A 15359-nucleotide genomic window follows, 5' to 3' on the forward strand; every position below is an offset into this window, starting at 1 on the left:
TGTTTTTTAATTTATTTTTATTTTTTGTAGAAATAGGGTCTCACTGTGTTGCCCAGGCTGGCCTTGAACACCTGGCCTCAAGTGATCTTCCTGCCTTCCAAAGTGCTGGGGACGGTAGGCATGAGCCACCACACCTGTCCAAACTGCAATACTTCTGAAAACTTTAGGGCTCATAGTTTTGTTGAAGTGATAGATGATGGCTATATTCTTTGTTACATAACAGCAAAACATTTTTGTTTTTACATTTATAAATACCAATTAGAATGACTTTCAGTGGATTGGTTTTCATTTTTCACATCATCTTTACCTTCCTGTTACTTTGTGTACATATCTGTCTTTCATACTTGTCCACTTACAAACTTTTTCAAGTAAATTCTGGTGTTACAAGCATAAAAGATGAAAGAACGTTGTCACATGGTCACTTGTCCTTTTAGCAATTATGCGATGATTCAACTGTTCTAGGTACAACTAGAGGGAGAGTATCCCAGGCAAGGGAGATAACAAATAGAAAGGCCCTAAGACACAAGTGTATTTAACATGTTTGGGGAACAACAAGGAGTTAATCGTGGCTGGAGTGGAAGTAAGGAGGAGAGATTAAGGAGATGGAGCTAAGAGAGGTAGTCAAGGGCCAGGCCATATGTCAGCGATAGTAAGGTCTTCAGCATTTACTTTTTTAAGCTGGGAGTCCATGGAAAGGTTTTGAACCCAAGGTATAGCATGATCTGACTTACAGAAAGAGACTTCTGATTGCTGTGTTGAAAATACACCATAGGTTTGAAGGGAGGAAACAGGCTGACTAGTTAGAGCCAGTGTGGGTAGTGGTGGTTGGATCTGAGTATATTTTCCAAGTGGAGCCACCAGGATTTTTCAGTAGATTGATTACATGTGGTGTATGAAAGAGGAGTGTCAAGTGTAACTCCGAGATTTTTGGCTTATGCAACTGGAAAAATAAAGTTAGAATTTAATGAGATGGAGGTCTGCATAAGGAGTACTTTTGTGGCAGGAAAGAAATTGGGTTTTGAACATGTGAAAATTGAGATGCCCATTAGTAGAAGTTGGATGTGAATAAAGAGTCCAGGCCAGGTGCAATGCCTCATGCCTGTAATCTCAGCACTTTGGGAGGCCAAGGCAGGAGAATCATGTGAGCCCAGGAGTTCAAGACCAGACTGGGCAACAAAGTGAGACCCCGTCTATATTATAAAATAAAAAAATAGTTCAGAGGAGAGGTCTGGGCTAGAGATGGAAATGTAGAAGTTAGTAAATTTAAAGCTGTTGAACTAGAGGAGATAGCTGAGGAAGTGCATTCAAATAGAGAAGATGTCAGAGGAGAACTTTGGGGTTCTCTCAGTGGTTAGAGATAGGATATGAGGAAAAACAGTGCAGGAGACTAAGGAGGAGCTCTCATTGAGTTAGGAAAATCAAGAGGGATGCCCTGGAAGCCAAATGAAGGCAGTGTTTTGAGGAAGAGGGGTGATGGGCCATGTGAAAGCCAATAGGTCACATGCTGCTAATGGGTCAACTAAAGTGAGGACTGAGAAGTATTCACCAATTTAGCAATGTGGAGCTCATTGGTGACCCTCATAAGAGCTGTGTTGGTGGAATGGAGGAGGTAAAATCCTGGAGGGAGAGAACATAAGAATGAGAGAACAGTTGACAGTGCATGTAAACAACTCTTTCACGGAACTTTGTATTTCTGAATTTTTGTTTATTTGGCTATTAATAAAATCATATCTGATATAGCTTTATTTTAGTAAGGTTTGTTTTTGTGGGACTTCAGTTGTGTATACACATATAATATGTGTGTGTATGTATGTGCGTATGGTGTTTTGATGTAAAATTTATTATTGTGGGTCATGGTTAAAAAAAAAGCTTGAGAATGAGGAGTTAGATCAAGAAATAGAAGGAAAGTTGACATAAGAAGTTGTGGATGTAGGAGATTCTACCATGTAGACACAGTGGAAGGATTTAGGGAGTTGGAGCAGGTTGGGATATGTGATCAGAAAGCGGGAGTTTAGCTCTCTCACTTGCCCCTGCTTTTACCATGTGATGTGTCTGCTACCCCTTCACCTTCCACCATGACTGTAAGCTTCCTGAGGTCTCCCTAGAAGCCAAGCAGATGCCAGCACCATGCTTCCTGTAAAGCCTGCAGAACCATGAGCCAATTAAACCTCTTTGTAAATTACCCAGTTTGAGGTATTTCTTTATAGCAGTGCAAGAATGCCCCAATACAGAAAATTGGTACCGAGAAGTTGGGCATTGCTATAAAGATACCTGAAAATGTGGAAACAGCTTTGGAACTGGGTAATGAGTAGTGGTTGGAAGAGTTTACAGGGCTCAGAAGAAGACAGGAAAATGAGGGTAAGTTTCAAACTTTTTTTTTTTTTTTTTTTTTTTTGAGACGGAGTCTTGCTCTGTCGCCCAGGCTGGAGTGCAGTGGCGTGATCTTGGCTCACTGCAACCTCTGCCTCCCGGGTTCAAGTGATTTTCTGCCTCAGCTTCCCAAGCAGCTGGGGTTACAGGCATGCACCACCATGCCTGGCTAATATTTTTGTATTTTTAGTAAGGATGGGGTTTCACCATGTTGGCCAGGCTGGTCTCGAACTCCTGACCTCAAGTGATTCACCCACCTCGACCTCCCAAAGTGCTAGGTTTACAGGCGTGAGCCACCGCTCCCGGCAAGTTTGGAACTTCTTAGAGACTAGATAAGTGGTTGTGACCAAAATGCTGATGGTGATAGGGACAGTGAAGTCCAGGTTGACAAGGTCTCAAAAGGAAACGAATTTATTGGGAACTGGAGCAAAAGTCACACGTTATGCCTTAGCAAATAACTTGGCTGCATTCTGCTTGTGTCCTAGGGATCTGTGGAAGTTTGAACTTAAAAACTATGACCTAGCGTATGTGGCAGAAGAAATTTCTAAGCAGCAAAGCATTCAAGATGTGGCCTTCTGCTACTAACAGCCTGTGCTCAGATGTGGGGGCAAATGAATGACTTAAATTTGGAACTTACATTTAAACAGGAAGCAGAGCCTAAAAGTTGGGAAATTTTGCAGCCTAGCCAGGTGGTAAAAAAAAAAACCATTTTCTCCAAGGAATTCAAGCAGGCTGTGGAGCAACCACTTGCTGATATTTGCATAACTGAAAGGGATCCAAGTGGTAATATCCAAGACAATGGGGAAAAGGCCTCAAAGGCATTTCAGAGACCTATGGGGCAGCCCCTCCTGTCATAGGCCCTGAAGCCAAGGAAGACTGAATATTTTCCTGGGCTGAGCCCAGGGCCCTGTTGCCCTGTGCAGCCTCAGAACACTGCTCCCTGCATCCAGATGGCTCCAACTCCAGCAGGGGCTCAAAGGGGCCTAGGTACAGCTTGGGCTGTTACTTTGGAGGGCATAAGCCATAGCCTTCACAGCTTCCATTAGGTGGTAAGCCTGCAGGCACACAGAATGCAAAAATGGTGAATTCTTGGTAGCCTCTGCCTGGATTTCAGAGGATGTATGGAAAAGCCTGGGTGTCCAAGCAGAACCCTGCTGCAGGAGCAGAGCCCTCACAGAGAGCCTCTACTAGGGCAGCATGGAGGGGAAATGTGGGGTTAAAGGCCCCACGCAGAGTCCCTACTGGGGCACTGCCTAGTGGAGCTGTGAGAAGAGGGCTACTGTTCTCCAGAATGGTAGAGCCACTGGCAGCTTGTACCCTGCACTTGGAAAAGCCACAGACACTCAACCCAGCCTGTGACAGCAGGCTGAACTCTGCAAAGCTATAGGAGCAGAGCTGCCCAAGGCCTTGGGAGCCCAACCCTCATATCAGCGTGCCACATGGAAACCAAGGAGATCATTGTGGAGTTTCATGATTTAATGACTGCCATGCTGGGTTTTGAACTTGCATGGGGCCTATAGCCCCCTTTTTTGGCAGGTTTTTCCCTAATGGGAATATTTCCCCAATCCCTGAACCCTGATTGTATGTTGGAAGTAAATAATTTGTTTTTTATTTTATAGGCTCATAGGTGGCAGGGATTTGCCTTGTCTCAGATGAGACTTTGGATTCCTGAGTTAATGCTGGAATGAGTTAAGACTTTGCGGCACTGTTGGGAAGGCATGGTTGTATTTTGCATTGTGAAAAGGACATAAGATTTGGGAGGGGCCAGAGGTGGAATGATGTGGTTTGGATATTTATCTCTACTTATGTTGAATTTTATCCCGAGTGTTGGAGATGGGGCATGGTGGGAGGTGTTTGGATCATGGGGGCAGATCCCTCATGGCTTGGTGTTACCTTTGTGTTGTTACTGAGTTCTCGTGAGATCTGGTCATTTCAAAGTGTATGAAACCTGCCCCCTGCCCCCCCACTGTCTCTCACTTGTTTCTGCTTTCATCATGTGACATGTGTGCTCACCTTCTGCCATGATTTTAGTTTCCTGAGGCCTCCCTAAAAGCCGAGCAGATGCCAGCACCATGCTTCCTGTAAAGCCTGCAGAACCGTGAGTCAACTAAACCTCTTTTCTTTATGAAAGAAAAGGAAGGAAGGGAGAGAGGGAAGGAGAAAAAGAGAGAGGGAGAGATGGATGGAGGAAGGGAGGGAGGGCTTACAACCATGAGGACAGTTTTTAGGTCAATGAGGGATGACTTGGGAGTCCTATGAAGACTGATGTAAACTAGAATAAAGGGCATGATGAGCTTATGATTCAAAAGTATTTTGTCATAGAAATAGTTTGTTTTCTGTAAAAGAACACAGTAAATATTTTAGCTTTGTAGGCCACTGAGTCTCTGTTGCTTTAAAAAATGTGAAAACCATTCTTAGCTTGAGGGCTGGACAGTCCAGGGCCATACTTTACTGACCGCTGCTTGAACTAAACGCTGTTAGAAGCAGCTCTGGAAAAATAATTTGCATGGAATCTTATGATTTTTTTTTTTTTTTTTTTTTTTGAGGCAGAATTTTGCTCTTGTTGCCCAGGCTAGAGTGCAATAGCGCGTTCTTGGCTCACTGCAACCTCCGCCTCCTGGGTTCAAGCAATTCTCCTGCCTCAGCCTCCCGAGTAGCTGGGATTACAGGAAGGCACCACCATGCGTGGCTAATTTTGTATTTTTAGTAGAGACAAGGTTTCTCCATGTTGGTCAGGCTGGTCTCGAACTCCCAACCTCAGGTGATCCACCCGCCTCGGCCTCCCAAAGTGCTGGGATTACCAGCGTGAGCCACTGCACCTGGTCAAGTATTATGGTTTTTTAATAGTATGCACACATGGGACAAAACTCAACTGGTATAAAAGGGTATGCAGGAGAAAAAAAGCAAACTTCCCTCTCTCCCTTTTCTGTCCACCAGCCATCCTGTTCTCCTCCCTAAACTCAATTATGGTTGCCTGTTTTTTATATAAGTTTTCCATGAATTTATAAATACATCACGTGCATATATCCTGTCAGTCAATATTAAGAAATTACTAGGTTATTTTGTGTTTATGTGTGCACTATTAGATTTAATGAGTTATGCTAGTTGTTGCCTCTTATATCCACATTCAGTCTTCATTGTCTGTTCTGTAATAATAGATCTGGGCCCTGTAAATACCTCTCCCATGACAGTAAGCACAGAGTGAAACTTTGTCAATCGAGGGTGCTGCTGACACACTGAAGGGGCAAGGGCTGCTTTTCCTGGTTCCATTGTGCTCCTCTAGGCAGACACCTGCAACACCTGTGCCATCTGCAATACCAGCTCCTGTAGCACATACACTCTGCCTCTGCAGCACCTCGTTCTGGCTGCACACTTCTTGGGCGGTGCCTAACTTCAGCAGCACCCAATGGTCAGCAGCGCACAGTACCCCCACATGAATGGCTTCCCTTGACATGCACAAGGTCCCTTCTCTGCAAAGTGCCCCAAGCCCAGCACCTTCTCCAGCTGCAACTCCACAGCCTCAGCAAACCTCTGTCTTTCACAGCTGTGTCCTCTCACACGAAGTCTGGATCTCAGCCCGGATCTCAGCCCTGAGCTTTCTTCTTTGAGTTGTTCTGTCTCAGCCTGGGGTGAAAAGCCCATATCGGCTGTTCCCTGCATCTGCCCAGGCTTCTCTTTATTCCTTACTACCCAATCCCCATTCCAATCCTCTGTTAATAACTCTTACGGACAGTCCCCAACTCATGATGACTTGACTTAGGATTTTTCTACTTTGCAATGGTGCAAAAGTGATCCGCATTCAGTAGAAACTGTTCCTCAAGTACTCATACGACCTCTATTTTTCACTTTCTGTACAGTATTCAATAAATTGCGTGAGATTTTCAATACTTTATTATAAAATAGGCTTTGTGTTTATGATTTTGCCCAACTGTAAGCTAATATAAGTGTTCTCAGCGTGTTTAAGGTAGGTCAGGTTAAGCGATGATGTTTGGTAGTTTAGGTATATTAAATGCATTTCTGACATACAATATTTTCTACTTACAATGGGTTTTTCAGGATATAACCCTGTTGTAAGTTGAGGAGCATCTTATTTTATTTATTTATTTATTTATTTGAAATGGAGTCTTGCTCTGTCACCCAGGCTGGAATGCAGTGGCACGATCTTGGCTCACTGCAACCTCTGCCTCCTGGGTTCAAGCAATTCTCCTGCCTCAGCCTCCCAAGTAGCTGAGACTACAGGTGCACACCACCATGCCTGGCTTTTTTTTTTTTTTTAATTTTTTTTTGTATTTTTAGTAGAGACAGGATTTCACCATGTTGGCCAGGCTGGTCTCGAACTCCTGACCTCAAGTGATCTGCCCACCTCGGCCTCCCAAAGTGCTGGAATTACAGGCGTGAGCCACTGCGTCAGGCCGAGCATCTGTATATTAAACTTTCCCCATTCAAATTTCTGTGTGGTTTCTGTCTCCTGACTGGATTCTGATATAATGCTTAACAACCTTTCTAATTACAAAGGTATTACATATAAAATCAGACAAGCAAGAAGACAATCCATCCCACCTTCTAGTACTCTTGCCCTCCAGAGGTAGCTCCAGTTAATATTTTAGTGCTAAACTAGATTTATTTTTGTTTTAAATAGAAAAATAATGCAGGCACGAAAGTAAAACAAAAAACAGTACAGAATGGGAGAGACTGAAAAGTAAGAATGGCTTCCAGGCCCACTTCCTAGAGGTACGCACTATTAACATTTTTAGATATAAACTTCCAGAAATTTTTTTCCAGTTTTATTTAGGTATAATTGACAAAATTATTTATATTTCAGTTGTACAACATGGATGTTCAACATGTTTTGGTGTACATATACTTTCTGATATTATAAATGGTTACCACAAGCAAGCTCAGTAACATATTCAGAAATTCTTAATGTAGCTAGCAATATAAGTGGTTTTGTTTTTTGTTTTGAGACAGACAGGGTCTTGCTCTGTTGCCCAGGCTGGAATGCAGTGGCGCCATCTTGGCTCACTGCAACCTCTGCCTCCCGGGTTCAAGCAAGTCTTGCGTCTCAGCCGCCCTAGTGGCTGGGACTACAGGCATGTGCCACCACACCTGGCTAATTTTTGTATTTTTAGTAGAGATGGGGTTTCACCATGCTGGCCAGGCTGGTCTCGAATTCCTCACCTCAAATGATTCGCCCGCCTCAGCCTCCCAAAGTGCTGGGATTACAGGTGTGAGCCACCGCACCCAGTCATAAGTGGTTTTCTAAACAAATGAGACCACACCATACATACTGTCCCTATATTTCATACTTGGGCAAGGGGAGGGGAGTTGACTTTTTTCTTAGTGAGAATAAAAATGAGGATAAAAGTATGGTTGTTTACCAACTTATAGTAGTATCATGAATTTCGAATGGTCTTCTGGCCGTTCAGAAAACTACTTAACTGGTAGGAACGAAATTCTGGACACTGACATTGATATAGACACTCATATCAAATATAATACTATGAAATACTATGATATGGAAATAATATGCAATCACTAGAGATAAAATATTTTCTACCCAAGTAGAGTGGATTCATAAGAAAATTCTAAATTATAGCATATGTTGAACTCTGAGAAGCCTCTGGAATGAAGTCATTTTTCCCTAACCCCTGTTTCCTCTTTATATTGGCAGTGGATAAATGGAAAGTAAGTTAACTCTACTGTACCAAAGCTAGTTCAATATAGAAAACAGGTTCTACAAGGATTAAGGAACATCTCTTGGCCCACAGAAGATTCATGTGGATCCTGTGTTAAACCCGTTTCATCCATGTATGAAAGTGATTCAACCGTTAAGTTAGCCATTTATTATATAAATTGAATACTTCTTCCATATTGTGGCTTTTAGATAGATTGGCAGACCTGTCCCCAACCCCTTCCCTGTTGACCATGGACAATGGAGGGTTTGCTGTATAAACTTGATTGAAGGGTTTGCCTTTAGCTGGGGTGGATTACTCAGGGACCTCAAAGGTATTGGTGATGATTTATTTCTTGAGCTTGGTGGTGAGTATGCAGGACTGTGTTTTGTTTTGTTTTGTTTTTTAGCAAGCCTTACACATTTTCTTTTGTATGCAATATTTAATAAAATAATTTTGGATAATTTGGTTTTTAGCATTAATCAACAACTTTTTTTACATCCTCAATATGCCCCAAGACAAATTATTGATTCAGCAGTTTTTAGCTGAATCTTTTATTTCTGAATGATTGGAGAGAACGGCAGTATCCATTTCTGGAGAATAGTTAAGTACTTAGATTGAGGATGTCTTTCTTTCATGACATTAAGCAATGCAATATCATCTGCATCCAAGAGCCAACTTAACATGTTCAGTCTAATGAGCCTTGGTAGTCGTAACACACATTGACTCAAAGACTTGACTGTTGTGGCCTGAGCTTTGATACACTCTGTGAAATGCCTGGAGATGTCCAACTCCTGCAAGTTTGGCATGTTGTCCAGTGCTTGAAAGAAATTTCTGTATCCTTCCTCTGTAATCTTGTGATTGATTGAAAGCTTTAGGTTCTCAAGTTTCTGGAAACCTCCACTGATTGCTACTTTGGCTACAAGAACAAAACATTCATGAAAATAGAATCATAAGGACTTCCATTTCAATAATGGTAGACAAGGTTATTTGAACCAGCCTCCTCTCCCACCACTACTGCTAGTAGGAAGTACTCAATATAATTTTGTTTTTTGAAATGGGGTCTTGCTATGTTAACACAGGCTGGTCTCTTTTTCTTTCTTTCTTTTTTTTTTTTTTTTTTTTTTTTTGAGATGGAGTCTCGCTCTGTTACCCAGGCTGCAGTGCAGTGGCATGATCTCAGCTCACTGCAACCTCCGCCTCCCAGGTTCATGCCATTCTCCTGCCTCAGCCTCCCGAGTAGCTGGGACTACAGGCGCCCGCCACCATGCCCAGCTAATTTTTTGTATTTTTAGTAGAGACGGGGTTTCACTGTGTTAGCCAGGATGGTCTCGATCTCCTGACCTTGTGATCCACCCGCCTTGGCCTCCCAAAGTGCTGGGATTACAGGCGTGAGCCACCGCGCCTGGCCATCACAGGCTGGTCTCAAACTCCTGGACTCAAGTGATCCTCCTGCCTCAGCTTCCCAAGTAGGTGGGATTACAAGCACGTGTCACTGTGCCCAGCTTAATATAATATTTTGAAAATATCTCCTTAAAAACCCCAAAGAGCTGATGGGTTAATAAAGAACCACCTGGCAAAAATCTAAGGGAGAAGCAGAAACCAAAGAAGTACAGCCAAGCCTAAAGCACTGACGCCATTGTGCTGAGAGTTTCACCATCCTGGACAAATATGAGCTTCTCTTTTGGTCTCACAGGAGGTCACATGCCAAGGCACATCATGCCTACAAACCAGACTAAATTGGCAAGTCACAGTGGCTCACGCTTGTAATCCCAGCATTTTGGGAGGCCGAGGTGGGTAGATCACTTGAAGTCAGGAGTTCGAGACCAGGCTGGCCAACATGGTGAAACCCCATCTCTACTAAAAATACAAGAATCAGCCGGATATGGTGGTACATGCCTGTAATCCCAGCTACTCGGGAGGCTGAGGCAGGAGAATCAGCTTGAACCTGGGAGGTAGAGGTTGCAGTGAGCCAAAATCCCACCACTGCACTCCAGCCTGGGTGACAGAGCAAGACTCCGTCTAAAAAACAAAAAGAGAAAACAAAAAAAAAAAATCCAGACTAAATTACAAGGGACTTCAAAGAGTGTAGCAATTATGTCTTCCCCTTTTATAGAGAAGGGGGTGTGACATTCCTAAAGCCATGTCATCCGACTGTCCACTGCTATGCCCTATTTCTGTTGCCCAGAAGGGACCCTCCTGTTTTTGAGACTAAGGGCTCTGAAGGAAATGGAAGCCGGGCACACCCTGTGTTCTCAATGAACACAGGCTGACTAGACTTTGGAATGGGTACCAAGCAGAGTTCTTGTTGTTTGGTTTAGGGGTTTTTAAAAAAAAAAAATTTTTTTTTTTTGAGACAGGGTGTCACTTGGTTGCCTAGGCTGGAGTGCAATGGTTCAGTTATAACTCACTGCAGCCTAGAATTTCTGGGCTCAAGCAATCCTCCCGCCTCAGCCTCCTGAGTCCTAGCTACTCAGGACTAGCCACCGTGCTTGGCTAATTTTTCAATTTTTTATGGAGACAAGGTCTTGCTATGTTGCCCAATCTTGTCTCAAACTCCTGGCCTCAAGCAGTCCTTCTATCTTGGCCTCCCAACGTGTTGGGATTACAGGCATGAGCCACCATGCCCAGCCTTGTTTTTAATTGCTAAACCTCTTTTTTTTTCTAACTTGGGCAAAGGTTAAGTTTGGTTTCAATCTAGAATCCATGGCTGTAGCTTGACTGAGGTTAAACAACAGAGGTACTGAGAAAATGTCTTCAGCTATGTCCTGAATAGGTATCTTCAGTAACATTCAAGAGATATTTCTCATTCCCCCACATGAAAGACACTTCTGGAGGGACTTGAAGAAAGACTCAGGTCTTTCACATCCATTCCCTTCTTTCCCCTGTTTCAGCATAACTCCCACTTCATATTGTGTGATTAGCCGGTTCTGTGATGTGTCTGAATGCTGTCTCCTACAGGTAAAGTTTAAGCATTACTGACTATAGGCAAACAATGGCCTCTCAGCTGTCCATCAGAAGAAGCTACAGAAAAGTAAGTTTTCTTTATTCAGTCAACAAATATTTACTGAGTTCCCACTATAGGCCAGGCATACTCTGCTGGGCGCCGGGAAGAGAAAACACCTGCTCTCAGGAGGGAGAGCGACAGGGGTTACTGGCTCAAATCTGTGTGTGAGATTGAAGTTCTAAGGAAGGCTTTGACCTAATGTAGTGAGAAGAATAAAACACAAATAATTTATAGTAAATGAGGATGAGAGAGACCACAAAATTTAATGTTATTAAATTCTTCCTCATAAGGAGGAAGAAACAAGGCCTTTAAGAAAAAGGTTGTAAGTTGTCATTGTTTTTTGTTTTTTGTTTTTTTTTTTTGAGACGGAGTCTCGTTCTGTTGCCCAGGCTGGAGTGCAGTGGCATGATCTTGGCTCACTTCAAGCTCCACCTCCCGGGTTCACACCATTCTCCTGCCTCAGCCTCCCGAGTAGCTGGGACTACAGGTGCCCGCCATCACGCCTGGCTAATTTTTTGTATTTTTAGTAGAGACGGGGTTTCACCATGTTAGCCAGGATGGTCTCGATCTCCTGACCTCGTGATCCATCCGCCTCGGCCTCCCAAAGTGCTGGGATTACAAGCTTGAGCCACCGCTCCCAGCTGTTTTAAATAACGTAAAATAACAGTGCTGAGCAGTAAGAAAATGAGATCCAGCCCTTGTAACACACCCGACAAAGCCTCTCCAATTGGGCTTTTACTTTCCTCTCCAGTCTTCTTCTCACAACTCACTCCTGCCTCTTGCTCCAGACATTCCTTTTTTTCCCCCAAGTTCTTCAAATATATCTGGTTCTCTTTAACTCCAGGCTATGACACAAGTGATTACCTCTGTTTGAAATGATGTCTCAATTCCTCCTCTACCAACTATGCCTGGGCCATTCTCCCTTCAGGTCTCGACAGAAATCTCAGTTCCTCAGGCCAGGCACTGTGGCTCACTTGAGGTCAGGAGTTCGAGACTAGCCTGGCCAACATGGTGAAACCCTGTGTTTACTAAAAATACAAAATTAGCCAGGTGTGGTGGCGTTCACCTGTAATCCTAGCTACTTGGGAGGCTGAGGCAGGAGAATCGCTTGAACCCAGGAGGCAGAGTTTGCAGTGACCCGAGATCGTGCCATTGTACTCCAGCCTGGGCAACACGAGCGAAACTCTGTCTCAAAAAAAAAAAAAAGAAGAAAATAAGAAAATAAAATTCAGTGAGCAGTACACATGATTTTTGTACTTTTCTGTGTGTATATTCATCTTCAGTTTTAAAAAGGAGTACTTAGGAGAGTATGTGGCCAGGTGTCTAAAACACCAGGTGGCAAGAACGCAGATTTGAGGGCTTGTATATCCACAAATGGGAGACCTTTTTGTACTTCCAAATCTGACCAGAATGCGCCTAAATCCACAGAAGGACACTAGAAGGAACAGTATGATAGTGAAAATGAGGAAGCGGGTTGAAAATTTCTAGAGGGGCAAATGTTTACATAGACATGTTGCAGCAGAAAGCTTGGCTATACCACTGGCTTCCATGCAAGCTGAAACACTAGCTCACCAATTTCCACCACGCTGTCATCATTCAAAGTCTTGAAAAATGAGAGGACTCGGAGACAATGAAGCTGCTGACACTGCTGGATGATCAGTTTGGCCACTCGATAAATTCCATCCCCAGTAGGAAGGATCAATTCTTCCAGGTTACTAAGAGAACCTAAAATGTAGGCTGTCAGAAAAGACCAAAAAGCTATTCTCTTTGTACTTTTTGTTCCTATGCAACAGTAATCTGAAAATCATGTATGGTCTAAACATCATGCACAGTCCAGGAAGCAAGAGAAGGGCCAGCACATGCTTCCGTCTTCCTCGCTCCTCCAGACAATTCCTCCACCACACCCTACCAACCAATCTCTCCTGCACTAAAGTCCAGGCTGCCAATTAAATCTCCATTCCTCGTTTAGAATGAAGCTTTTCCTGACCTGCAGGTTCCTTTCCCAGCTCTGCAATGCCTTCAGCCACCTCCTTTCCCATTCCACCTCCCGCTGTCATGCTCAGTGATTCTGCACCGGCCTCCTGGCCCTAAAGCCTCACAGTCCACCACTCTTAGAACCTTCCTTTTCACTTCGACTCCTTCCTAGCATGGCACACGATAGATCATTTGATCATTAGAAAGGTAACTTCTGAGGCCTCACACATGGAAATATATTGAATAATTTCTAGCATAAATCAATGTCCCAGGCTTATCATTTTCTTTCCCTGTCTCAGTTCTTGAATCAGCCAATTTTGCAAGGACCCTGGTTCCTTTACGGAAGGACAGGATTTAGAAATCAGTATCTAGGCACTTGGTGTGTTCATTATTACTGCAGTGCCTTCTAGTCTCTCCATTGAGCTGAGAAATATGTATGTGTGTATCTATAGACATGTGGAGATCAATGTATATATATGGAGATCTCTATGTATGTTCATAGGTTAGAAAAAACCATGAGGCCAGACCAATATTTCCAATTCTAATCCAACACCTCAAAGCTCTTTCTAGCCTCACCTTTCAATATTTGTAAGTTCCTTTTCCAACTGTGAGGAAACGTGGCTCTCATTATACTCACTGTTTTGTTCGTTTGTTTGTTTTTGAGACAGAGTCTTGCTCTGCCACCCAGGCTGGAGTACAGTGACCTGATCTTGGCTCACTGCAATCTCTGCCTCCGAGGTTCGAGAGATTCTCCTGCCTCAGCCTCCCAAGTAGCTGGGACTACAGGCATGTGCCACCACGCCCAGCAAATTTTTGTATTTTTTAGTAGAGATGGGGTTTCACCATGTTGGCCAGGCTGGTCTTGAACTCCTGACCTCAGGTGATCCACCCACCTCGGCCTCCCAAAGTGCTGGGATTACAGGTGTGAGCCACTGCATCTGGCTATACTCACTGTATTATTTGCTTAATCAACCTATGATGTATGCCAGCCATCCCCTTGGCCCTGATCCTACCTCTGCCACCTCAGCCCCCACCCACCTAGCTGCCTCCAAGGAAGGGAAGAGGAGGATCCTGGCAATCTTTATGTACGCTTATGTTTGAGAAGCACTTTGAATAGCACAGCTCTACAGTCCCTATCTCCACTGCCTCCCTTTATTTTTTTTTTTTCCTGTTAGAATGTTTTCCATGAGCATACATTACTTTCATAATCGTTTTTTAAAAATCAAAAAGTATTTAAATTCTATAGCTATCATTTTATGAAATACACGTTTTCACGTATTGAGTTTTCCTAACCTTAAAAGATAGATTTTTACCTATATTCTAGTAACCTTTGAAACTATGAGGTCTTATATTTGGAACAGATACCTGACAATTATATTGCATAGTGCTATAATGACCAAATATGTACTCTAAGAAGTCATTCTGCTTTGAATGAGATCAAGTCTGCAGGTAAAACTGTAGTGAAGGCATTTGGTGGGTAGAAGTTGAGCATGACTATCACTTCGTTCTGGTAAGCAAGGGTAGCTAATGCATATCTTGCTTCCTTGTGGCTAATTCAGAATAGGAGAAAAAGGATTCTGGGCAGAAAGAGAATAAGAATACGTAAAAAGCACTATTTTGTAAACATACCAAATTTTTCTGATGTTTCCTCATCAGGAAATTGCTGGCCTTCAAGATTTAATATCTTCAGAGAAATAAAATTTGGCAAACTGGCAACTATGAAAGGGAAAATAAAAATTTAGTTATGTCAGCTACATCTCTCACAGCAAAGTGTAACATCTTTAAAATGAAGAAATTAGAAATTAATGTAATAATTCAGATTGAATTCATATGACTAAGTAGATAAAACAAATTTTTGCTCAGAAAATAATTCTGATAACTAGAAATGTTGTTAAAATTCTAGAAATTTCAAATCCAACTGAGCGTAAAGGTAAAAAAGAAAATTCTGGAAACACCTATACTTTATTATTTGAGAAACAATTTTTCTTTTCTTTCTTTCTTTTTTTAAAGAGACAAGGTCTGTGTCACCCAGGCTGGAGTGCAGTGATACCATCACAGCTCGCTGCAGCTTCAACCTTCTGGGCTCAAGTAATCTTCCTGCCTTAGCTTCCCTAGTAGCTGGGACTATAGGTACCACTGTGCCCGACTGATTTTTTTAAAGCTTTTTAGAGGTGGAGGGCTTGTTATGTTGCCCAGACTGGTCTCAAACCCCTGACCTCAAGCAAGCCTCCTGCCTCAGCTTCCCAAAGTGCTGGGATTACAGGCATGAGCCACCACACCCAGCCTCAAAATATGGCCCTTTTTAAAGAGTGCTTAATATGACTCTGTGTCCATAG

At 43.0% G+C, this 15359-nt stretch overlaps 2 protein-coding genes across 4 annotated transcripts in view, besides 1 other annotated feature; one reads left to right on the plus strand and one right to left on the minus strand.

Annotated features, from left to right (window-relative positions):
• Positions 1-4868, plus strand: part of SMN1 (survival of motor neuron 1, telomeric) — a 41435-nt gene extending 36567 nt beyond the window's left edge. Inside the window, exon 8 of the mRNA XM_047417615.1 lies at positions 4402-4868. Coding sequence (XP_047273571.1) covers positions 4402-4455 — 54 coding nt within the window. The 3' untranslated portion in view covers positions 4456-4868. The remainder of the gene's footprint in view (positions 1-4401) is intronic.
• Positions 2763-3454: an enhancer, noted in NCBI's record as "OCT4-NANOG-H3K27ac-H3K4me1 hESC enhancer chr5:70260097-70260788 (GRCh37/hg19 assembly coordinates)". NCBI's record gives its function as "activates a minimal SCP1, AML or CMV promoter by ChIP-STARR-seq in primed H9 embryonic stem cells {active_cell/tissue: H9 hESC(primed)}" and the evidence as "EXISTENCE:reporter gene assay evidence [ECO:0000049][PMID:30033119]".
• Positions 6659-15359, minus strand: part of NAIP (NLR family apoptosis inhibitory protein) — a 57174-nt gene continuing 48473 nt past the window's right edge. For all 3 annotated transcript variants that reach the window (NM_022892.2, NM_004536.3, NM_001346870.2), the window contains 3 exons: positions 14653-14739; positions 12622-12786; positions 6659-8961 (listed from right to left, as the gene is read on the minus strand). In NM_022892.2, coding sequence (NP_075043.1) covers positions 8597-8961; positions 12622-12786; positions 14653-14739 — 617 coding nt within the window. In that variant the 3' untranslated portion in view covers positions 6659-8596. The remainder of the gene's footprint in view (positions 8962-12621; positions 12787-14652; positions 14740-15359) is intronic.

This window comes from Homo sapiens, chromosome 5, assembly GCF_000001405.40.
Source record: "Homo sapiens chromosome 5, GRCh38.p14 Primary Assembly".
Lineage (NCBI taxonomy): Eukaryota > Metazoa > Chordata > Mammalia > Primates > Hominidae > Homo > Homo sapiens.